Here is a 25,047-nt window from a genome sequence, read left to right on the forward strand (position 1 = left end):
GTGCATATTTATGTGTTTATACGTATGCACATGTATTGTATGTTGTGTCTACATTGTATAACTTGGCATAGTTAGTTGGCAAGAAGTCCCTTAAAGAGAAAGGAGTGCTCACATAAAATATATACTAATTAACCCAAATGCCTTTCAGTTCACATGACTTATGTAAATCTTTAATCAATAAGCTGGTTTTAAAGTTATTGGTAAAATAAAAATTAAAATATCTTCAAATTTGTCAGCAGGCATCTTTGCCTAGGTTTACTGCTCAGACAGTTTATATTTGTCTCTACTAGACATTTTAAGACATCAGGGTTTCACAACAAGGTTATAAAACTATAAACCCAGCCTACAACAGAATGATCTTCGTTTGTGTAATGTTTTGATACATAGGACTAAGTTATCACTGTTGGTTGAAAAAATAAAAACAGGTGTATATCCTGAATTATTGGACACCGGATATTCACAGGCTATAAAAATGATTAATAGAGAAATAACTTGAAATGACAACTAGCTTTGTCTAATATCTCAATTCTCATAAGAAATCTAGGTAAATTGTTAATAAATAAATTACACCAATGTAAATGGGATAAATGCTTATAAATGAATTTTTCAAGTAATTTGAAATCCTAAAGTTATGTTCAATTAAATAATAAATACTCATTAAATGTCTGGGTTATTTCCAACTAAGATTTTTAAAATTATGTTACAGGGAAAGAAACTTCTAAAAATTATAAAATGGTTCTCATCTATAAAACAGTTATAAGTGAAAAACAATTCAAGATCTTGCTTTCTAGGTTTTCACTAAAAGTAAAGGTTACGAACAGTTAAAAATTCTAATGAATATGTATAATTCTATATATAAAATGTGCCTAAAATATATAAGGTATGTTTTTAATAGGAAAAAAGTATAAGATGGGCATAAAAATGTGTTCCTTATTGAGAAAAGAATGATTTTGAGTCAGACATAGTGGCTCATACGAGGGAGGCTGAGGTAGAAGGATCACTTGAGGCCAGGAGTTTGAGGCTGCAGTGAGCTATGATTGTGCCACTGCACTCCAGTCTGGCTGACAGAGTGAGACCCTGTCTCAAAAAAAAAAAAATTAAAGTTTTTTTTAATTTAAAAATTTTTTAAAGAATAATTTTGTCTAACGTAGAGGTTATTTAAAGGCTATTTCAAAATATGGATATGGAAAGAAATAGAATACCGAAAGGGAGAGAGAGAGATGTGAAAAAAGTTATGGATATGAAGATATATTTTTTAAGAAAGGTTACAAAGAAAAGAATAACTTTGTATGAGAAAGAATCTCGTATGACACATTTTTGTTCTAAACTAAAATGACTGCTTATTTAAGTTAAGGAAGTGTAGGATAAAGCAGAAAGTCCCAGCACATCAACAATGATCTGAGAAAAGTCATGATAAGGTTCATGAAAACACAATTCATAAAAGGAATTCTGCACGTGATTAAGTTGGCTATAATTAAAAGAGATTGTTTATATTTAGTCTTTCTAAAAACTGATCTATTATGCTAAAAATACACTAATACAAAAATTTTAAAATTTGGTTACCTATATTAAAACAACATGGTTTACCTAAAGTATTTGCTTTTAATAAAATTGCAAGAGGTTTTGATTTTTAATTCTGAAATCTGTTTCTTTAACACTCATCTTCTAAACTATTTCTATTTCTTCCTGAGATGTAATTAATTTTCCTACTCTCAGGTTGGAGATGTAGTGTTTTTCATTTCACTTTGTGAGGAAAAGTTCTTTCTTTTTGAAATTTCTCAAATTTATATCAGAAGTTCAACCTTTGCTGTACCTCACTGCAAATGATTTGCAGGTCACACATCATTGCCTTCTGTTCTTTCTCCTCTTAAAAAGGTATATACCTTTTTGCTTGGCTGGGGTGATAACTCTCTCCTTCAACCTTTTTGTCAACTCCTGTAACTTTTGTTTTTCCTAGTTCTAACTCTGCTGTTAGGGCCTGAAACTAACATGTTTATCTTAAAAGCCTAGAAAGCAATGTTTTCCTTCAGTATAATTTGATTCTGTACTCTTGGCTTTTCTTGATATGTCTGAATTGTTCCCTGTAATGAGGAAACTTCCCATGCTGTTACTAAGAGTCATGTATTCCTCTACTCAAGGTACTAGGGTGTTTTTTGTTTTGTTTTTCTTTTTAGACAGTGTCCCACTCTGTCACCCAGGCTGGAGTGCAGTGGCATGATCTTGGCTCACTGCAACCTCCGCCTCCCTGGTTCAAGCAATTCTCCTGCCTCAGCCTCCTGAGTAGCTGGGACTACAGGCGCACCCCACCATGCCCGGCTAATTTTTGTATTTTTAGTAGAGATGGCATTTCACCATGTCGGCCAGGCTGGTCTTGAACTCTTGACCTCAAGTGATCCATCTGCCATGGCCTCCCAAAGTGCTGCGATTACAGGCGTGAGCCACCACACCCAGCCACAAGGTACTAGTTTTCTTTTACATTTCTCTATAATATAGTATACACTCATGACCCTCGATATACTCTTTCTGTTTCTGATTAAATTCAAGTACACTTTTAATCAGGTTTGTCTTCCAGGTTACCTAAATGGGTTTCCCATAAAGAGAGGCAATCACACCACAAAAAGTTTTCTTTGCATTTTTGGTAACTGGCCTTTAAAAAAAAAACCAAAAGATTTTATGTTTTATCAAGATAATTTCCTATGCTATCTTTATTAGATTTTTGATTACTTGGGAAAACTGAGCTTTAGAGGGTTAAGGTTTTGTTTTTTCTTTTCTTTTCTTTTTTTTTTTTTTTTTGAGATGGAGTCTTGCTCTTGTCACCTAGGCTGGAGTGCAGTGGCGTAGTCTCGGCTCACTGCAACCTCCGCCTCCTGGGTTCAAGCGATTCTCCTGCCTCAGCCTCCTGAGTAGCTGGGATTACAGGCGCCCACCACCACACTCGGCTAATTTTTTGTACTTTTAGTAGAGATGAGGTTTCACCATGTTGGCCAGGCTGGTCTCAAACTCCTGACCTTGTGATCCACCCGCCTCGGCCTCCCAAAGCACTGGGATTACAGGCGTAAGCCACCACACCCTGCCAGATTAAGGTTTTTCTATCTATGTGAATTTCCATATTGCTTTTGAAGTATTTTAATTATCACTCTGATTAAATGAGTAACTACTATTTATGAGTGACCTATGATTCTGTTTTGATCAAGTGTTTTGAACCTTTTGGCATCTCTGGCAGGTTTCCACAGAATCAAAATCCAAAATTGTTTCTGACCTAAAATTAACTTTGGCATTGTCCAGTTAGGCCCCTGAAAAGCTTCAAAGAATGTATGTCACATCTTACAGAGATATTAAATTATTTGTCTTACTTGGAAAATTATATGGAATGCATTGACAAATGGTAAGTGATATTAGATCTTCTTTCAGTTATTTCTGTGGGTATGTTATTGATATAAATATTCTAAAAAGTATATAAATTCATTAAAATATGTTATCAGTCATAATTGATTCTTTTTTAAAGTTATATTTGTATGGGGATATGTTATTAATGTGAATATTCAAAAGATTATATGAAATTTATAGAAGTCTGATGGCCCTATGATCCTGGTTGTTATCTTAAAATACTGCATGTAAGAAATAACTAAATTCCTTGTCAACTGGGAAATTTCATCGGATCTTAACCATGGCTTTCCTAAGTTGTTGTTGTGAACCACTGTTACTGTTCTGAATTATTCTCTGAAAACAACTGCAATCAGCTACATTCCAAAACTGCTTTTTATGAAAATGACTTCAACAAGTCCTTTTTTTTCTTTTAAGACAGACTCTCTGTCGCCCAGACTGGAGTGCAGTGGGGCGATCTCGGCTCACTGCAACCTCCGCCTCCCGGGTTTGAGCGATTCTTCTGCCTCAGCCTCCCGAGTAGCTGGGACTACAGGCGCCCGCCACCACGCCCAGCTAATTTTTGTATTTTTAGTACAGACAGGGTTTCACCATATTGGCCGGGCTGGTCTCAAACTCCTAACCTCGTCATCCGCCCACCTCGGCCTCCCGAAGTGCTGGAATTACAGGGGTGAGCCACCGCACCCAGCCCAACAAGTACTCTTGAACACATTTCTGATAATTTTAAGATCAATGGACTAAATGACAACTTCCAGAACTCTAATATATTAAAAAAACTGATTGGTGCATAAAACTGTTAATGGCCAACCTCACAGTACAACGGTACTGCGTCTGACTCCATAAAACTGCTAATCAAGATCAAGCAAAACTAAAATTTAATGACTTCAAATTAAGTAATTGATGATGATGATGTGTTTGTGACTTTTCATTTTTGGTTCTTTACTTAAATATTTTGTCTTACAGATTTAAGACATTTTTCTCACATAAGCTATCTATAGTATACAACAATTTGGTAAAGTATACTTTTGTGAACAAAGATGGAACCATTTGCTTTTCCTTCCTATTGGATTCCTCCCAAAATTCACAAACGTTACTATTCTTATTTTTATTTATATAAATTCAATAAAAATCTGCTCTCAAGTAGGATACAATTGGAAATATAAACATCGGTTATATACCACCAAGGCTTTGGCTGAAATGTCTTATTTGAAAATGTGCATTGAATGCCTGGCTTCCAGAGTTCCCAGACTTCCAGTGAGTCAGTAAAAATGGTCACTTCCTGGAAGGCTCACGATCCTTAAGATTGTACGTGAGATCTAAAATCTGCCCTGGTTTGGCTTCCTAGCTCAGGAGGTTTTTAAATCTGAGATTCCTGTGTGATCAATGTGGGAAGAAAAAGTTATGTCTCTATAGAAAAACTATAATATACCTATTCTTATTACAGATTGTAGCCCCATGCACTGTTTTAAAGTTCTTGTTATCTACGTGTAGACTGGACTAGATTCTGAATTCTTCTAATTTCCTCCAATACTTGGTCACAGTTCTCCAGCTGGCTTAAAAAGCTTTATTAGCTGAAACTAGATAATTTTTTTTGAGATGGAGTCTCACTCTGTCGACCAGGCTGGAGTGCAGTGGTGCGATCATGATTCACTGCAACCTCTACCTCCTAGGTTCAAATGATTCTCGTGCCTCAGCCTCTCGAGTAGCTGAGACTACAGGCACACACCACCACACCCATCTAACTTTTGTATTTTTAGTAGAGATGGGGTTTCACAATGTTGGCCAGGCTAGTCTTGAACTCCTGACCTCAAGTGATCTGCCAGCCTTGGCCTCTGAAAGTGCTGGGATTTCAGGTGTGACCAACTGGTACCTGGCTGAAACTGGATAAATTTTAAGAAACAAGCCTCATGTCTGATTTATGAACCACAAAAAAGGTTCACCCAACTGCCCAATGTCATGACCAAAGATATTCAAACTACAAACCGGAAGAAAAAGTTGCTATTTTCACACTGTAAACAACTTTCTCCAAGAGGTTGGAATAAGACTTCATATCATAATGAGACTTTTACTCCTCTTAATGCTACTTTTCTCACTTGGCAGACTTGTAATTGAAATTTTACAATCAACAGCCTCTGCTGGTAACTTAACAAAACCTAACTTAAGAAATACTTTTGTATCGATTCATTAAATAAGAAAATGTCTGCGTTATTTCTAATATTACAAGCTGTACACCTGGATAAATTCCTCTGGGAAAGCTGAAACCCATATACACAAAACAAAACAGCTCATAACGTTACAGCAGGTCTTACCTAATTCCCTGTGGTGATTTAACTTATTCAATTGGTTTTCTTTAAGCCTAGATTCACGACTCAAAGCCATTATGCAAACTGACATTGTCATATTAAGTTTACCTTTTATTTTCCCTTTTTAAACTTTGAATCTGGGCCAGGCGCGGTGGCTCACGCCTATAATCCCACCTTTGGGAGGCCAAGGCGGGTGGATCACTTGAGGTCAGGAGTTCGAGACCAGCCTGGCCAACGTGGCAAAACCCTGTCTCTACTGAAAATATAAAAATTAGTTGGGAGTGGTGGCACTTGCCTGTAATCCCAGCTACTCCGGAGGCTTAGGCAGGAGAATCACTTGAACCCAGAAGGCAGAGGTTGCCGTGAGCCAAGATCACGCCACTGTACACCAGCCTGGGCAACAGAGTGAGATTCAGTCTCAAAAAAAAAAAAAAAAAAAACATAACTACAGGGCCAGGCGCAGTGGCTCACACCTGTAATCCCAGAACTTTGGGAGGTCAAGGCAGGTGGATCACTTGAGATCAAGAGTTCAAGACCAGCCTGGCCAACAAGGTGAAACCCTGTCTCTACTAAAAATACAAAAATTACCCAGGCATGGTGGTGCATACCTGTAATCCCAGCTACTCAGGAGGCTGAGGCAGGAGAATTCCTTGAACCCAGGAGGCGGAGGTTGCAGAGAGCTGAGATCACACCGCTGCACTCCAGCCTGGGTGACAGAACAAGACTTTGTCTCAAAAAAATAAATAAATAAAAATAACTACAGGATAAATGATCAGTCATGCTTTCTGAAAAAGATCTTGATCAAAAGGAAGAAATGTAAAAGTTGTCAAAATCAAAATGGAGTCACTAATGTTAAGAAAAACAGAAGCAGGGAAGACCATGAGGAGAGTTATCTTGTGTGCCTGAAGACTCTACAAAATGAAAAAGACTCTACAAAAACCACAACCTTGCACAAAGGCTACCACAACCTTACACAAAAAAATGCTTCTCTGCCAACGTCATCTGCCCAGCAACTGCCAGCCTACCCTCGGACTGCCGTCACCCCTGTTATTGATCTTTGCAGCCAAGGATAATTATTTCAAAACAATTACATAATCCTCCTCAATTTTTCCTTTAAAAATCTTTGTCTTTGGCCAGGCACGGTGGCTCACATCTGTAATACCAGCACTTTGGGAGACCAAGATAGGTGGATCACGAGGTCAGGAGATCGAGACCATCCTGGCTAACATGGTGAAACCCATCTCTACTAAAAATACAAAAAAAAAAATTAGCCGGGTGTGGTGGCGGGCGCCTGTAGTCCCAGCTACTCAGGAGGCTGAGGCAGGAGAATGGTGTGAACCTGGGAGGCGGAGCCTGCAGTAAGCTGAGATCACACCACTGCACTCCAGCCTGGGTGACAGAGCAAGACCCCGTCTCAAAAAAATAATAAAAAAATAAAAAAATAAAAAAAACTTTGTCTTCATTGACTTATAGTAACTCATAAAAAATTAAAAAGTAAACTTTGTCTTCCTGTACCTCCCCAAAAACACAGTTTACTGTGGCTTGCATATTCACATTGCAGTGCTCTATTCCAAAATAACCATCATTTTCTTCTAGAGAGCCCCTCTCTGTTTGTTATTCAGGTTGACAAAAGTCTTCAACAAATGGTGCCAAAACAACTGGATATCCATATTGGCAGAGGTGGGATAAATCTTAACCTTTACCTCACACCATTCATAAAAATTAATTCAAGACGAATCACAGGCCCAAACATAAAAGTTAAAACTACATATGGGGCCAGGCACAGTGGCTCATGCCTATAATCCCAGCACTTTCAGAGGCCAAGGCAGGCAGATCACTTGAGTCCAAGAGTTCAAAACCAGCATGGGCAACATGATGAAACCCTGTCTCTACAAAAAATACAAAAAAAACTTTTGCCAGGCATGGTGGCACACTACTTGGGAGGCTGAGGAGAGAGGATCGCTTCAGCCCAGGAGGTGAGAGGCTGCAGTGAGCCGAAATTGCACCACTACACTATAGCCTGGATGACAGGGCAAGACCCTACCTCAAAAAAAAAAAAAATTTTAAAAAATGGCTTCTTCCATACAGGTTGCTTAGGAGGAATCCGCCCAAACAACTCTGTCCGCCCCCTCGGCCACTGACCCCCCGAAGAGCTCCTGCCACCGCTCTAGGAATACAGACATTGAAGTTTGGGGACAATATGTTTATCTAATTTCTGTATCAAAACTAAAGACCTGCTATGGCAGTGAAAAAAGAAACTGAATTTGTCATTTTCACCTAAAGAAAAACGACAGACAAAAATCAAACCTGTAGGCCAGGCGCGGTGGCTCACGCCTGTAATCCCAGCACTTTGGGAGGCCGAGGCGGGCGGATCACGAGGTCAGGAGATCGAGACCATCCTGGCTAATATGGTGAAACCCCGTCTCTACTAAAAATACAAAAAATTAGCCAGGCATGGTGGCGGGCGCCTGTAGTCCCAGCTACTTGGGAGGCTGAGGCAGAAGAATGGCATGAACCCGGGAGGCGGAGATTGCAGTGAGCCGAGATTGCGCCACTGCATTCCAGCCTGGGCAACAGAGCGAGACTCCATCTCAAAAAAAAAAAAAAAATCGAACCTGTGGTGCAGGACAGGATCCTGTGCCCTATATGACTTCTCTGATTCACAAACTCTAAGAATGGTTTACTGTGGAGCAGTTGGAAGACTATTTGAATTTTGCAAACCACCTCTTGTGGGTTTTTACACCATTAACACTTCTAATACTTCCTTACTTTACTATCTTTCTTCTCTACCTTACTATTATTTTCCTACACATTTATAAGAGAAAGAACGTATTAAAAGAAGCCTACTCTCATAATTTATGGGATGGTGCAAGGAACACGGAGGCTAGTCTGTGGGATGGGCATGCAGCAGTTTGGCATGGTAAGCGAGGATGCTTTCATCTCTGTGTTGCCATTCATGTGTGCTGCATTGGAACTGTGTTACCATGCCATTTTATTGACTGAGAAGATACTGAAAAATATAACAGAAGTGATATTTACTATTCCCTGTTATCTGTTTGCATGCATTGTGCATATGTATGTGTCTTCCTTAAAATGAGTTTTCCCACAGAGATTAGTTTCCATTAAACAGAGAACCACGCAGCACTGTAGACTATAAGCTGACATGTGAAAATGTATATTTAACACATCTAAAAGAGTAAGAGACTGATTAATTAAAACTATAGAAAACTGCTTTAAAAAATTAAAACTACATACAAAGCTTCTAGAAGAAAATCTAGAATATCTTTGTGACCTTGTGGTTGGCAGAATTCCTGTCCTGCACCACAGAAATACAAAAAACACTAACCATAAAAGAAAAATATGATATAGTGAACTGTATCCAAATTAAAATTTTCAAAAGATACCTTTATGGAAATAGAAAAGCCACAGTCTAGAGAAATATTCACAGTGCACATTCAACAAAAGATTCACATCCACAACATATAAAGAACTTCTAGAAATCAATAATATAGAGTCAAACAACTCAGTCTGAACAAAGATGTGAACAGACATTTCACAAGTATAAACAGCCAATACGCACAACACAAGATGTTCTTGGCTGGGCATGGTGGCTCACGCCTATAATCCCAGCACTTTGGGAGGCTGAGGCATGTGGATCACTTGAGGTCAGGAGTTTGAGACCAGCCTGGCCAACATAGTGAAACCCTGTCTCTACTAAAAATACACTAATTCAAAACTTAGCTGGGCGTGTTGGCACACGCTTGTAATCCCACTTACTCAGGAGACTGAGACATGATAATCACTTGAACCCGAGAGGTGCAGTGATACAAGATTGCACCACTGCACTCCAGCCTGGGTGAGACAGCGAGACTCTGTCTCGAAAAAAAAAAAAACAAAAAAAATGTTCCCAATCATCAACCATCACCAGCAAAATGTAAATTAAAACCACAATGAGGGCCAGGCACGGTGGCTCAAACCTGTAATCCCAGCACTTTGGGAGGCCTAGGTGGGCAGATCACGAGGTCAAGAGATCAAGACCATCCTGGCTAACATGGTGAAACCCCATCTCTACTAAAAATAGAAAAATTAGCTGGGTGTGGTGGTGCGCGCCTGTAGGCCCAGCTACTCGGGAGGCTGAGGCAGGAGAATCACTTGAACCCAGGAGGCAGAGGTTGCAGTGAGCCAAGATCATGCCACTGTACTCCAGGCTGGCAACAGAGTGAGACTCCGTCTCAAAAAAAAAAAAAAAAAAAGAAAAAAGAAAAAACACAATGAGGTACCACTTCACAACCATTTCACAACCATAAAAATGCCTAAAAGACAATACCACATGATGGTGAGAATGTGTAACAAATGAAACTTTCATAAATTGCTGAGCAAGTATAAAGTAGTACAACCACACTGACAACAGTTTGGGAGTTTCTTCTAAAGTTAAATATATACCTACTCTATGACTTAACAATTGCACTTCTAGGCATTTACCCAAGGAAAACTGAAATGTACATTCACAAAGTCTTGTGAAGAATGCACATAGTACTTTTTTTCATAATAGCCAAAAATTAAAAGCAGACCAAATGTCTATTTACAGCTCTTTAAAAACTGGTATATTCATACAATGGCATACTACTGAGCAATAAAAGTGAATGAACTACTGATGCATGTTACATGATATGACACGGATGCATCTCAAAAATAGGTTGAGTTTAAGAAGCCAGTTGCAAAAGACTGCACATTACATGATTCCACTCATATGAATTTCCTTTTTTTTTTTTTTTTTTTTTTTTTTGAGATGGAGTCTCACTCTTATCACCCAGGCTGGAGTGCAGTGGCACGATCTGGGCTCACTGAAACCTCTGCCTCCTGGGTTCAAGTGATTCTCCTGCCTCAGCCTCTCGAATAGCTGGGATTACAGACGCCCACCAGGACACCTGGCTAATTTTGATATTTTTAGTAGAAACGGGGTTTCACCATTTTGGCCAGGCTGGTCTCGAACTCCCGACCTCAAATGATCCGCCCACCTGGCCTCCCAAAGTGCTAGGATTACAGGCGTGAGCCACTGCATCTAGCCACTCATATAAAATTCTAAAAAGGCAAAACTAAGTAACAGTAATAGCAATTAGAACAAGAATTCCCTAGGGAAAAGGAGTTATTGACTAGAAATGGGCACAATAAATTCATTGGGGTGGGGATAATAACTTATATCTTAATTGGAGTTGGTGAATATAGGTTCTACATCTATCAAAATTTGCTGAACTCATTTTAAAGAATCATTTAAAAATCTGTGCATATTAAATGTAAATTATACCTCTAAATAGTAAATTTATTGACAGTGTATAATAATAGCTATTTAAAAGTTGCATGTAATAGACATACTGAATAAAAACAAACAAAAAAAACCTGCAAAGCTTCACCCCTGAGTGGCTCCCAATCAACTGATAACCTGAGTGGAAAAGCAGGGAACACAAAGTTGGACTGATCCAAAGCGTCATATCAAAAAGTGACATTAAAATTTAGCAAAATTTTTTTTTTTTGCTAAATTATTGCAGTCAACCAACCCATGGCTGGAAACATTAAAGATTTAATTCAGCAAGATGAGAAAACAATTTAAAATCTATATGTATCTAATAATATAGACTCAAAATACATAAAGAAATGATTTTTTTTTTTTTTTTAAAGACAGTCCCGCTCTGTCACCCAGGCTGGAGTGCAGTGTCTTGATCTCAGCTCACTGCAACCTCTGCCTCCCGGGTTTAAACGATTCTCATGCCTCAGACTCCCACGTAATTGGGACTACAGTTGTGCTTCACCCTGCCAGGCTGATTTTTTTGTATTTTCAGTAGGAATGGGGTTTCACCATGTTGGCCAGGCTGGTCTCGAACTCCTGTCCTCAAGTGATCCATCTACCTCCGCCTCCCAAAGTGCTGGCATTACAAGCGTGAGCCACCACACCCAATCATGAAACAATAAATTAATCCAAAAATTATACGAGGAGATTTTAACCTCTCTGTCTCTAACAGATCTCATAGGTAAAAACTCGGTAAAGCTCTAAAAGATGTAAGCAACACAACACATAAACTTGACCAAAAACACACAGAGCCCTGCACTCATCAACTACAGAATTTACATTCTTTTCATGGACCAGTGAAACATTTATAAAAATGAACGGTATGCTGGGCCATAAAACAAAAGTAATGATATATTTCAAATGAATGAATGGGGAGCTATCATCAGTAATCTTTGAAAGAAGATGAAGAACCAGATGTCAGTGGGAGATTAAAACAAAGTAATGTTGACCCAAAGAGAGAAAAATCCAATTCTAGGAACTACATCTTAAACGTGAATTCTCAGTAGCACTATAACCTGTCATTTCAAATTTTTGAGCTACATAGGACATGAAAAGCATGGAAAAAGCCAGGCCAAAGTAATCTCATTTCCTTTTTAAACAAACTAGTAGTACAAACAAGTAGTACATTCTGATTTCAGAAAGCATTCAATACCGTTTCTCATGAGGCTTCAGGTAATAAGCCACAATTATCATGAGTCACTCTCACAAAAAGACTCTTGCAGGCAAATAAGGCAAATGGAGAAATACAGTCTGGATGACAGCATAAGTGGATCAGTGGCTGGTTAAACATCCATATTCACACTGTGATGATTATTGGAGCAATGTCAATTTGGATTACAAGTCTCCAGAGGTAACATTTACAGGGCTTTGTCTTGTAACCTCTTCTGTATTTATGTAAACATCTTGCATATAAATAAACAAAGGACTGCTTATATATTCGAAGGTGGAACTGAGTCCAACTGAATAACTCATCTCTGATACCAAATATGCATTTAAAAGATCCCCAGAAGAAATTCTAGTTCCTCTCGTGGAATTCCATATTATACTGTTCATACTATCATAGAAATCATCCTCTATTAACTCTTTATATTTTTCTCTCCCAAGATACATAGGTTTCTATAAATTTTGCATTTAGGTAAAGAAAAAAACTGTACATTACAGAATGGAGAGATCTGTAGTTGACCACAGCACAAATATAAGCCAACAGTGTACAGTTGCTGAAAATCATAGTGTGGAATTCTGCTTCTAGCCAAGATGGAGTAACAGAGAGGATTTACAATCCTACTTGAAATACCAAAAAATGGACAAAATATATGAAACAACAGATTTCAGAACATGAGACATCAGGCAACAAAAGATGGTGATCCCATAGAGATAGGAAACACTTAAGGTGAGCCCTCCCATTACCTCAGCTTACTGTCTTGAAACCTTCCAGGCCATGTAGCAAAGAGAGACGACCCAAGCGAAGCCCAGTGGACTCTTGAGTTTGGAAAATGCAACAGAGCCTGGGGAGACAAAGGTGGCTACAGTTTGCAGGATTGAAAGCTAGAGAGATGAAACCTACAAAGAGACTCCAAGAGTCTACAGCGGATTTCTCTCAAGTATTTGCCCAAGTACTGTTCAGCACATTCACAAGAGAAACACTACCCAAGGATGGGAAAGAACCATTTTTGGAAGACTAGACATTTAGAGAAGAAACAATTACTGAACTTGAAGACACAGTGATAGAAACTATCCCAAATGGGATGGGCATGGTGGCTCACACCTGTAAATCCCAGCACTTTGGGAGGCCAAGGCGGGTGGATCACCTGAGGTCAGGAGTTCGAGAACAGTCTGACCAACATGGTGAAACCCTGTCTCTACTAAAAATACAAAAATTAGCCAGGTGTGGTGGCGCATGCGTGTAATCCCAGCTACTCGGGAGGCTGAGGCAGGAGAATCACTTGAACTCAGGAGGAGGAGGTGGTGAGCCAAGACCACACCACTGCACCCCAGACTGGGCAACAAGAGTGAAACTCCATCTCAAAAAAAAAAAAAAAAAAAGAAACAAAGAAACTATCCCAAATGAAAAGAGGGAGAGAGGAAGGGAAGGACTGAGGAAGGGAAGGACTGGGGGTAATGCCTGATGCTTACAGCAGGCTGAGAATTGTACCTGTTTCTGCCAGTCAGACTAGAAATCTAAAGATGCACAAGGCATTAGGTAGACTACATAGAAGTGTTTTGCCTCAACAGTGAAGAATAATTAGCCCTATACTGAGCCGGCTCTTGTCTCACCTAAGAAGCCATAAAAGTGAGATATAAAAGCTCATATTATTTCAAAGTAACTTAACCTTGTCCCAGGGGAAAAAAAAAAAAAAAAAAGCTTAAAACTGTTTATAAGAGTGTTTATATAAAAATATCCAGGCCAGGCACCGTGGCTCAAGTCTGTAATCCCAGCACTTTGGGAGGCCAAGGTGGGCAGATCAGGAGGTCAGGAGATAGAGACCATCCTGGCTAACACGGTAAAACCCCGTCTCTACTAAAAATACAAAAAATTAGCCAGGCGTGGTAGTGGCAGCCAGTTACTCAGGAGGCTGAGGCAGGTGAATTACTTGAGGCAGGAGAATCGCTTGAACCTGGGAGGCAGAGGTTGCAGTGAGCCAAGATCACGCCACTGCGCTCCGGCCTGGGCAACAGAGTGAGACTCCGTCTCAAAATAAATAAATAAATAATAAAAATAAAAATACCCAGTACCTAATAAGGTAAAATTAGGTCTGACATCCAATCAAAGATATGAAGCATGCAAACAGACAGGAAAACATGATGAATGAGGGAAAAAAATCCATTGATCCAAGCTGATCCAAAAATGACAAAGACATTAGCAGATTAGGACATTAAAACAGTTATAACTGTATTCTATAGGCTCAAAAAGGTAACAGATGTGGAAAATATAAAAAGACCCAAACTGAACTTCTAGAAATGAAAACTACAATGTCTAAGTTGAAAAACCTATTATATAGGATTAATGGAAGATGAGACATTACAGAAGAAAAGATAACTGAACTTGAAAACATAGCAATAGAAACTATCCAAAATGAAAAGTGAGACAGAAGAAAGAACTTTTTTTAAATGAATAGAACATGAGTGAGTTGTGGGTCAAATTCAAGCAGATTATTACATATATAACTGTAGTCTTCTAGGAAGCAAGTGGGTGGGTGGGGAGGAGAATATTTGAAGAAATAATGGCCAAAATTTGTCCGAATTTCATGAAGACCATAAATCCACAAAACCAAGACACTCGACAAAACCCAAATAAAAGAAACATGAAGAAAACTAAACTGAGGCACATTATAATTAAATTGCTCAAAATCAGCATTAAGAGAAAATCTTCCAAGTAGCAGGAGGTTGGGAGAAGGAGGATCCTATTTAAAGGAACAAACAAAAGGATGACTGCTGAACTCTAATCAGAAGCAATGTGAGCAAGAGGACAGTGCAGTAACATCTGTAAAGTACTGAAAGAAAAAACAGCTGTCAACCTACAATTCTATATCCAGCAAAAAATTACTGAACTTGAAGACACAGTGATAGAAAATGAAGGCAAAGTAAAGCCATTTTCAGATATACGAAAGCTGAAAGAATTCATCACCAACAAACCTGCACTATGAGAGATCTTCAAAAAGTCCTTGGAGTCGCCACAGGTAAGTTTAAATTAGAAAAAAAAAAAACAAAAAACAAGTAGTCCTTCAGGCAGATGGAAAAGGATACCAGACGGAACACAGACCTACATGAATAGAACATGGTAACTACATGAGTACTGAAAATGGTAACTACATAAAGTAAATATGTGAGATTCTAAGATTCTAAGTATATAAATCTTTAGTACATAATTAAATAGATGTTTTGATTGAGTTAGATATAAAAATAGATATTTTTGTTGAAGAAAAAATAATAATAAAGTGTAGGCTTTAGAGCATACGTAAAACACTCAGTGTGGTGGCTTACACCTGTAGTCTCAGCTATTCAGGGGGCTGAGGCAGGAGGATTCCTTGAGCCCAGGAGTTCAAGGCTACAGCGAGCCATGATCATACCACTGCACTCCAGCCTAGGCAAAAGAGCAAGACCCGACTCAACCAAAAAACAAAAGTAAAAGTAAAATGTGTGATAAAAATTACATACAGGTTAAGAAAGAAATAATGGAAGTATAGTACTGTACGGTTCTTCTACACATTAAGTGAGATAACATCACTCAAAGATATACTATGAAATGATAAAGTAGTATGGTGTAGGCCAGGTGCAGTGGCTCACACCTGTAATCCCAGCACTTTGGGAGGCTGAGGTGGCAGATCACTTGAGGCCAGGAGTTCAAGACCAGCATGGCCAACATGGCGAAAAAATTAGCTGAGCATGGTGACATATGTCTCTAGTCCCAGCTGCTCAGGAGGCTGAGGCAGGAGAATCACTTGAACCCAGGAGGCAGAGGTTACAGTGAGCCAAGATTATGCCACCGCACTCCAGACTGGGTGAGAGAGACTCTGTCTCAAAAAAAAAAAAAAAAAAAAAAAGAGGTATAGTGTAAAACCTTGGGCAACTATTAACAAAAATGTTATTGCTAGTAAGCAAACAAAATATAAAATAGAGCCACTTTTTAAAAATGAATTAATTTGAAAGAACACAGAAAAACAGGAAAAGGGAAATAAAAAAGCAGATGAAATAGAAAATAGCAAGATAAATTTAAATCTATAATGAAATCACATTAATATAATCTACCCTAATTAAAATATAGACATAGATATTAAAATACAAATATATATATATATTTCTCTAGTGTACCAGACCGACAGTTTCTTGAAGCAGATATAGTTTCCTGTGTTTCTCTGCATTGCCAGAACTGTCACGTAAAAGGCCTCTCATAAATATAGAGGGGAAGTGGGGAGGGGGAAGAAGGAAAGGAGGTCGGTCTACTGATTCCCATTTTACTACTCTTTCCTCCACAGGAAACTAATATTATTAATCATTCATGCAACTATAACCTCCTTAATAAGGTAAGACCACAAAAATCCAGATACGATACCTCTACATAAACACTTCTAATTAACCCAGTCTCATATCATATAAGCTTTTCTATGCATTTTTAATAGCTTTCCCAATGACAGCACTTTTGATCTGTGAACTTGACCCACACTGATAGTAATATCCCAATAAACCAAGAAAAAAGGTAACTCACTGGTGCAGGCAGCCAACAGAAGCGATCCACAGAAGTAAGAAGGTAAATCTTTAGACTGTTATATCTGCCACTATGAACAGCTGCTGAGCTAATTAGAGAGAGACTTCATTCTAGGTATCAAATGAGAATGCCTAAGACTATAGTCATATAACAACAATTCTTGAAGATTTTCACCTTGTTTAGTAAGGGCTTCTCGGAGAGCAGGAGTTATCATAGCTCTTCTTTCACCATCTTCATTCCTCCCCATGTTCCTGAACAAACCAGACTTCTCTTCCTGCTGTTCCTTTTCTCTCTGCATTAAAATAAAAGAATGAAATCCAGAATTGGCAATGTGCAATGTAAATAACAGCACAATCATGAACACCTAGCATCAATAAAAAGGTCCATTATGAGGCTGGGCATAGTGGCTCACGCCTGTAATCCCAGCATTTTAGAAGGCCAGGGTAGGCGGATCACCTGAGGTCAGGAGATCGAGACCAGCCCGGCCAACATGGCGAAACCTCATCTCTACTAAAAATACAAAAATTAGCCGGGGATGGTGGCTCACACCTGTAATCCCAGCTACTCAGGAGGCTGAGGCAGGAGAATCGCTTGAACCCGGAAGGCGAAAGTTGCAGTGAGCCAAGATCACACCACCATACTCCAGCCTGGGCAACAGAGAAAGACTCTGTCTCAAAAAATAAATAATTATAAATAATTTTTAAAAATTGTTTTAAAAAAGGGCTGTTATGAACCATGGCCCACAAAACCCATCCTCTGCAAAGTGAACACAATCCCAATGAGACAACAATCTAAAGACATGCCAGGATGCTCTTTTGTTAAGTAACTATATATTCAAACATACACATCCAAAAACCATAAATCTACAATTCACTTAACTAAGTGTCAAACATTTTCAGCAATCTGAGTACAGATAGCTGCCTAACTTTAGCAAGTTGTTTATTTTCTCTGAATTTCAATTTCCTCACCTGAAAAGGGGGAAAAATAATAATAGCAACAGAGAAGAAATATGTTGAAGGTTAAATGAAATAAAATCACAACACAACACCTGATGTACAATAGGCGTTCAACAAATTATAGCTGCTGCTGGTATTACATCTCTAAACCCCAAAAACAAATAAAAAAAGTAATCTAAGCCACCCTGAGAGCCATCAGCTCAGAGACCAAGTTACCCCACTACCACCAACAGCCATTCCAATGGTTCCCTCTCCCTTATTTTATTTTTTGAAACAGAGTCTCGCTTTGTCGCCCAGGCCAGAGTGCAGTGGCACGATCTTGGCTCACTGCAAACACCACCTCCCAGGTTCAAGCAATTCTCATGCCTCAGCCTCCCAAGTAGCTGGGACTACAGGCGTGCACCACCATGCCTGGCTAATTTTTTTGTATTTTTAGTAGAGACAGGGTTTCCCCATGTTGGCCAGGCTGGTCTGAAACTCCTGGCCAATGTCTACTTCTAGAAGATCCTATGCAGGATATTTTTCTTCAGTGATAGAAAAAGAAACACTTAAGAAATCCAAAGGATAATATAAAAATAATTGTGTTTCCTGTTGACTTTGGCCACCAGGAAATTTCACCAGCACACCTTTAATTACTGTTACAAAACCTTGCAGCATGCTGGTCTTCTATTCATTGTAACTGGCTTGATATGACAAGATGACCCTCATTCACTCTGTCCACTGATTTCTTCTTCTCTTTTTAAAAGTTTATTTGTGTATATTTTTAAGGATATCTCCCTATCTTTTTGGGAATGGCAGAGTGCTGAGTAATAATTTCAGAGACAACACACGAGATCTGTGTTACACTTTAGGGGAGATACTCATCAAATCTTACTGACAGCTGCAGAAATTCACAATAACTCATCCAGGCAGTGGCCCTACCACCAAGCCCCAGCCCACCCTTGGTCCCTGTCTATTTTAAATGTCCAGCCATCCAGCCCCCAGGTGAATAAGTGAATGGACTCACTGTAACACCATTTCTACTTTAACATGAGAATATCTCACAGATGAGGTCTGACATTTGCTTCAAACTAAAACAGAAAGGGGTATACAAAGGGTACCTAGGGGAGGATGGCCCATAAGTTGCTGGTTGATGAGGCCAGGCAATAGGTAATAAGAATTCACTATATCACTCTGTGTACTTTTGAGAACATTCGATGTCTCCCATATATAAAACAGATTAAAAATTTTAACACGTGGCCGGGCACGTTGGCTCACGCCTGTAATCCGAGCACTATGGGAGGCTGAGGCAACTGGATCACCTGAGGTCAGGAGTTTGAGACCAGCCTGGCTAACATGGTGAAACCCTGTCTCTACTAAAAATACAAAAATTAGTCAGGCATGGTGGCAGGCACCTATAATCCCAGCTACCAGGGAGGCTGAGGCAGGAAAATCGCTTGAACCCGGGAGGCGGAGGTTACGGTGAGCCAAGACTGTGCCACTGCACTCCAGCCTGGGCGACAGAGACTCTGCCTCAAAAAAAAAAAAAAAAAAAAATTAACACTCACAGAAAGTAAGTGAAATTTGGAGTCAATATCTCTACATTCTCTGTTACTTCAGGGACTTGCTCTGAAATAGGACATCAGTGAAAAAAGTACTTTAGAGAATCAAATGTACCAAATGAGAAAAAAAAAAAAAAAGCCGCATTAAGTCCTATCTGTCCTAAAAGTCAGCATTCCAAATTACTAAATATAATCAAAATGCAAGGCAAATGAACATTTTTGCTTCCAGTAATAGGGTTCTTAATTACACATTACTGGATGGAGCTGAAAAAATTCATAAACAAACATCAATCATTTGTTCTTATAATAAATGTAATTAGCTTAATGCTAGGCCTTTTATACAAATAAAAAGGCTCCAGTTATTATTTTGTTAAGATAGTTTAAAATAGAAGGAATCCTTTGCCTTTTGTTTTCTGAGATGAGGTCTCGCTATGTCGCCCAGGCTGGTCTCAAACTCCTGGGCTCAAGCGATCCTCCCGCCTCAGCTACCCAAGTAGTTTGCTTTGTTTTTTTTAATCTAAAAGCAAAGGTGTGAGCTTGATAAAGAAGTCTTGTGGTGAAGCAAAATGAACAAATCTCAACCTTGAAAGCATTTGAATTCTCTGAAGCAATTCTATATAGCGAGTCTCTATAATTCCTCTACAAATCATGTAAAAAATTGAAAAGACATGGCAGTATTTGCCCTCAAAAGCCTTGTCACCACAAAACATCACAAGCTTATTTGCTTAACCCAAAGGCCAGATAAATCCAAAACTGGACCGAGGTCCATGACACTGGCCTCTGACCACTATGCCCAAAGCTCCACAGACACCCTCTTGGGGTTTTAAACAGAGACTTCTGGCCCCTACAAAATGAACAGACTCCAAAGGACGGCCATGGAATACTGTCTCTGTCCCTTCACTAGAGAAAGTATCTATTATAAAATGTGAGTGTTGCAACCCCAGAGTCAGTCATAAGGGCTATGATTAAAGGTCTTGAGCACTCAGGACAAACAAAATTCATCACTCCTTCCCTCTAAGGCAGCTCACTCCTAACCTCCATATGCAGTAGTAATTTCGTTTCTGAAAAGAAATGTAATGGTTTATAACACTCCGCAAGGGAGTTTAATGCACCATTCAAATTCTAACTCTAATCTGCTAGGTGTAGACATTGTTTACTCTCTGCCCAGAATGTAACAATATAACAACCATGTAAGATCCATATATTTTTGTGTATTTATTCATTTATAGCTGTTACATGGCCTAAACAGAAATAAATAAGATCCCAGAATCAGCCAACCTTGATTTCTTCCTCTCCTGTACCATCCCATTTAAAGATGAGTGGCCAAGTTCTGTAACCACATAACTAGCCCAATCTGGTTCAATTATGTGCAGTAAACTAGTAAGTTGTATTTCAGTTGCCATGAACCCCCAGGTTGTAGGTCAGGTAACTCGAGCACAGATGAACCCAGTGTGCCCAACGCGTGATACCAGAGGCAATCAGAACTAAAAAGTCAACCACAAGCAGAACCAAAGGGCTCTGATCAGGGAAAAGAAAGAATTAAGAAGCAAGCCTCGGCATCACCTCAGGGCATGAGCCAATCAGATCATGTCTTGGCATCACCCCACGGCATGCTCCAATCAAATCACACCTCCTGGCGTCACTTCGTTGCAAGATCCAATCAGATCACACTTCACTAATTATATTGCCTCATGGTAATCCCTCTGCCTATAAAACCTGCCCCAGCCTCCAGCTCAGGGAGACAGATTTGAGTGTTTCTTCCTATCTCCTTGCCAGTCGACTCCCAGTAAAGCCTTTCTTTTTTCAAAAGCCAGTGCCACAGTATTGGCTTCTATATACATCCAGCAGTGAGCCCACTGCCCAGTAAAACAGTTCTAGGGTTTCATTTCCCAACATAACTGTTCTCTCCACCTACAATGCCACCGTTCTTGTCCACGGTCTTGCTTTCTCCTAAGGGACGACGGCAAAAGCCAAACTAAATGGCCTCCCTGTCTCCAACCTCTACTTCCACTCCTCCCATCTCCCATACCCATCACACTTGCGTTGAAAGAAAACTCATATCCTCGCCAAGCTGCAGTGGTCTGACATGCAAACAGGAAAGTCAATTATGAGCTAACTTCCTAAGCACTTATGAAAATGGCAATGAATACACAAAACATTCTTTATAAACTGACAGGACTACATGAATCTTATAGAATAACAGGTATAAAGCAGTGTTACTAATGTTTTTTATTTGTTTTTGTTTTAAATATCATATAATACTGGTTGGGTGCAGTGGCTCATGCCTGTAAACCCAGGACTTTGGGAGGCCAAGGCAGGAAGACTGGTTGAGCCGAGGAGTTGGAAACCAGCCTGGGCAACATAGTGAGATCCCAGCTCTACAAAAAAAAATTTTTTTTAATTAGCCAGGTGTGGTGGCACGTGCCTGTCATCCGAGCCACTTGGGAGGCTGAGGTGGCAGAATCACTTGAGCCCAGGAGTTCAAGGCTGTGGTGAGCTATGATCACACCACTGCACTCTAGCCTGGGTTACAAAGCAAGACCCTGTCTCTAAAAATAAAAAAATTTAAAAAAAATCATACAATACCACTTAATTCATTTTGATACCATCATCCCAGAAACCACAGTACCATCCAATTTTGCCTAGGATAAAAACAAGGCCGAAAACTGATTTGCTGAAGACTTTAAGGTAAAATGCTATACAGTCGGAAACTGATAAACAGGAGTTTTACAACAAACAAGCTTTTTCTTACCAAAACATACATTTCTCCTGGGAAAGAGTCTTTCTGATTGTTTGATCCTTTTTTACCATCAGGTGATTCCTTTTCTTATCAATTCCTATAGAAAAGGTTGACTAGGCCAGTTGTGGTGGCTCACGTCTGTAATCCTAGCACTTTGGGAGGTGGAGGTGGGTGGATCACCTGAGGTCAGGAGTTTGAGACCAGTCTGGCCAACATGGCAAAACCCCATTTCTACTAAAAATACAAAAATTAGCCAGGCATGGTGGCAAAGGCCTATAATTTCAGCTACTGGGGAGGCTGAGGCACAAGAATCACTTGAATCCAGGAGGCAGAGGTTGCAGTGAGCCGACATGGTGCCACTGCACTCCAGCCTGGGCAACAGACTCTGTCTCAAAGAAAAGAAAAAGAAAAGATTGGCTATAGAATGCCCAAATTCTCCAGAGGTCATTTTTCTAGACAGTTAACCTGGCTAGACCTGGAGCCATGCCAGCACAGGATGGGCATTCGGTAAATGTTGGCTGAATAAATGAAGAAATGCCTCAAAACTATCAGACAGCTATTTCTAGACCCAGACATTTAGACCACATTTCTTTCAGTAACTAATTCTAAACCTGGTAACTTTCAATATTAAAAACTCAGGTCGGACGTGGTGGCTCACGCCTGTAATCCCAGCACTTTGGGAGGCTGAGGCGGGCAGATCACTTGAGGTCAGGAGTTCGAGAACAGCCTGGCCAACATGATGAAACCCATCTCTTCTGAAAATACAAAAATTAGCCGGGCGTGGTGGCATGCGCTTGTGGTCCCAGCTATTCAGGAGGCTGAGGCAGAAGAATCACTTGAACCTAGCAGGCGGAGGTTGCAATGAGCCAAGATCACACCTGGGCAACAAAGCAAGACTTCATCTCAAAAAAAAAAAAAAAAAGAAACTTTTATTCATGTTTAATTATACATGAAGTAGAATTTTAATATTAATCTAAACTAATAAAAATCATATCACTGAAAAGGAGTCACGGTAAAAAAATTAAGTAAATTATTAATATTTAATAACTTTTGCTGCAATTTAACCCCACATTTAGATTCCTATTTCTTTAATAAATGAATCTCTAAGATATCACTCACTGGTCACCGTTCAGTTTTAAAATGACCAATTTTCACCATTACTCAAAGCTTTTGTATATACTGAGTTCTAAAAATGCCTTTTGAACTGGTGGAAAAGCAGCGTGCCCAAGCACGTCAAGAGCTTTACTCTGACACAGTAATTCTATTTTGGATAACCTACCTTAAGAAGACAACATGGGGACTCATTGTTAAGTGCTCCTAGCTACAGAGACCATGGTGAGTCAAGATGGTTTAAGGGCAGCGTATTGGGGTTGAAAGGATATCACCTCTTGTTTCTAGGTGAAGTAAACACTCCAAAGCCTTAAAAATAATTCTGAAACTAGCTTCCTGTTATTCCACTGCAATACCAACAGAACTTTATAATCAGAACTGGACATACTGAGATCCTTCTGCAATTTAAATAGCTGGCAAATGGAAATGTTTCTCCAGTGAGTAACTGTCAAGCATTTGCCATTTATTTCCAAAATTAATGATGCTGATGTTAGTCTTTGTCTGCTTAGCCAGAACATTGCTGTGGGGAGTATTTAGCAACATTTATTTACTGCAGAAAAAAAAAAAAGTAGCAATAGGCTTTACATTTACAAATCACAACATAAGAGAAAGAGAAAATAAACAATATAAAAATTATCAGGCTCCTCCTGACTCATGGTTCTCTAAACACTACAGCTTCTGAGAACCACTCCTCCCTGGGGAAGCAGCCAAGAGGAGTGACACAGACAGATGGAGTCCAGGCTTGAGGCTGTCAACTTACCAGCCATCTGATGATGGACAAATTGCTTAAACTAAGCCTCAGTTGCTATCTGTTAAATGGTAAATTGCAGATGATAATAGTTTGATCATCTCAAGGTCACTGTGAGGATTGAGTGAGATAATCTAGTTATGTATTTTGATTTCTCCTTTTTTCCTTTATTCTTTGAGACAGGGTTGTCTCAGGCTGTTGCCTAGGCTGGAGTACAGAGGCGCAATCTCGGCTCACTGAAACCTCCATCTCTCAGGCTCAAGCGATTCTCCTGCCTCAGTCTCCCGAGTAGCTGGGATTACAGGCATGTGCCACCACATCCCGCTAACTTTTGTATTTTTAGTAGAAATAAGGTTTCACCATGTTTGCCAGGCTGATCTTGAACTCCAGACCTCAGGTGATCCACCAGCCTCAGCCTCCCAAAGCACTGGGATTACAGGCATAAGCCACTGCGCCCGGCCTCCTAATATTTTAAACCTACACTGGAACTCTCCTCTCTCCCCACACCCCCTAACCCATTCTCCAATTCAATCAAATCACATTGCCTCCCACTGCCTTCAGGAGAAAGCTCAGCCCCCTCCACTGCAGGACTTGAGAAGCCTCTAGGATCCTACCCCATCTTCCTTCTCTATGTCACAGCTCCAAATATCCCTACCCCCCAGTCAACTCTAGGCACACCAAACTGTTTAGGGTTCCCCAAACATGCCACCCCTAACACCCCACTCCCCCCATATCTCCATCTGTCTCCCTAACATTCCAGTGTTTCAAACTTTAGTGCTCTAGTTCTTAGAAACCACTCTCATACTTCAAATTATCTTCAGTCCTAGAAGAAGTCTTAGATAGTACTACAGAGAGAGGGAGGTAGAATACCAAGGTGGTGTTTTGGTAGGACCAAATCTATCCTATTTGAAGACATATTCTTATATAAGTTAATTATTAATTATTATAGTTAATATATTCTAATTCTAATTATATTGGAATAGTTAATATATATTCTAATTCTAATTATATATATTAATATATAATTATATTAAATTAAAGTTATATTCTAATTCTAATTATATAATTCTAATATAATTATATAATTAATTCTAATATAATTAGAATTAGAATATACTATTATTTTATAAAAAATATATTAACTACTATACAAGAAAATACAGTGTGGCTGGATTAACTTCTTTAATCTACATAAGAACTTTATAAGGCAGATACCG

At 39.4% G+C, this 25,047-nt stretch overlaps 1 protein-coding gene and 1 pseudogene across 3 annotated transcripts in view; one reads left to right on the forward strand and one right to left on the reverse strand.

The window, feature by feature from the left end:
* The window catches only part of TYW1B (tRNA-yW synthesizing protein 1 homolog B), a 253,688-nt gene that overhangs the window by 185,994 nt on the left and 42,647 nt on the right, over nucleotides 1-25,047 (reverse strand). For all 3 annotated transcript variants that reach the window (NM_001412180.1, NM_001412179.1, NM_001145440.3), the window contains exon 7: nucleotides 16,910-17,027. In NM_001412180.1, coding sequence (NP_001399109.1) covers nucleotides 16,910-17,027 — 118 coding nt within the window. The remainder of the gene's footprint in view (nucleotides 1-16,909; nucleotides 17,028-25,047) is intronic.
* LOC107986723 (transmembrane protein 68-like) lies at nucleotides 8,295-10,253 on the forward strand (annotated as a pseudogene).

Source organism: Homo sapiens, chromosome 7, assembly GCF_000001405.40.
Source record: "Homo sapiens chromosome 7, GRCh38.p14 Primary Assembly".
NCBI lineage: Eukaryota > Metazoa > Chordata > Mammalia > Primates > Hominidae > Homo > Homo sapiens.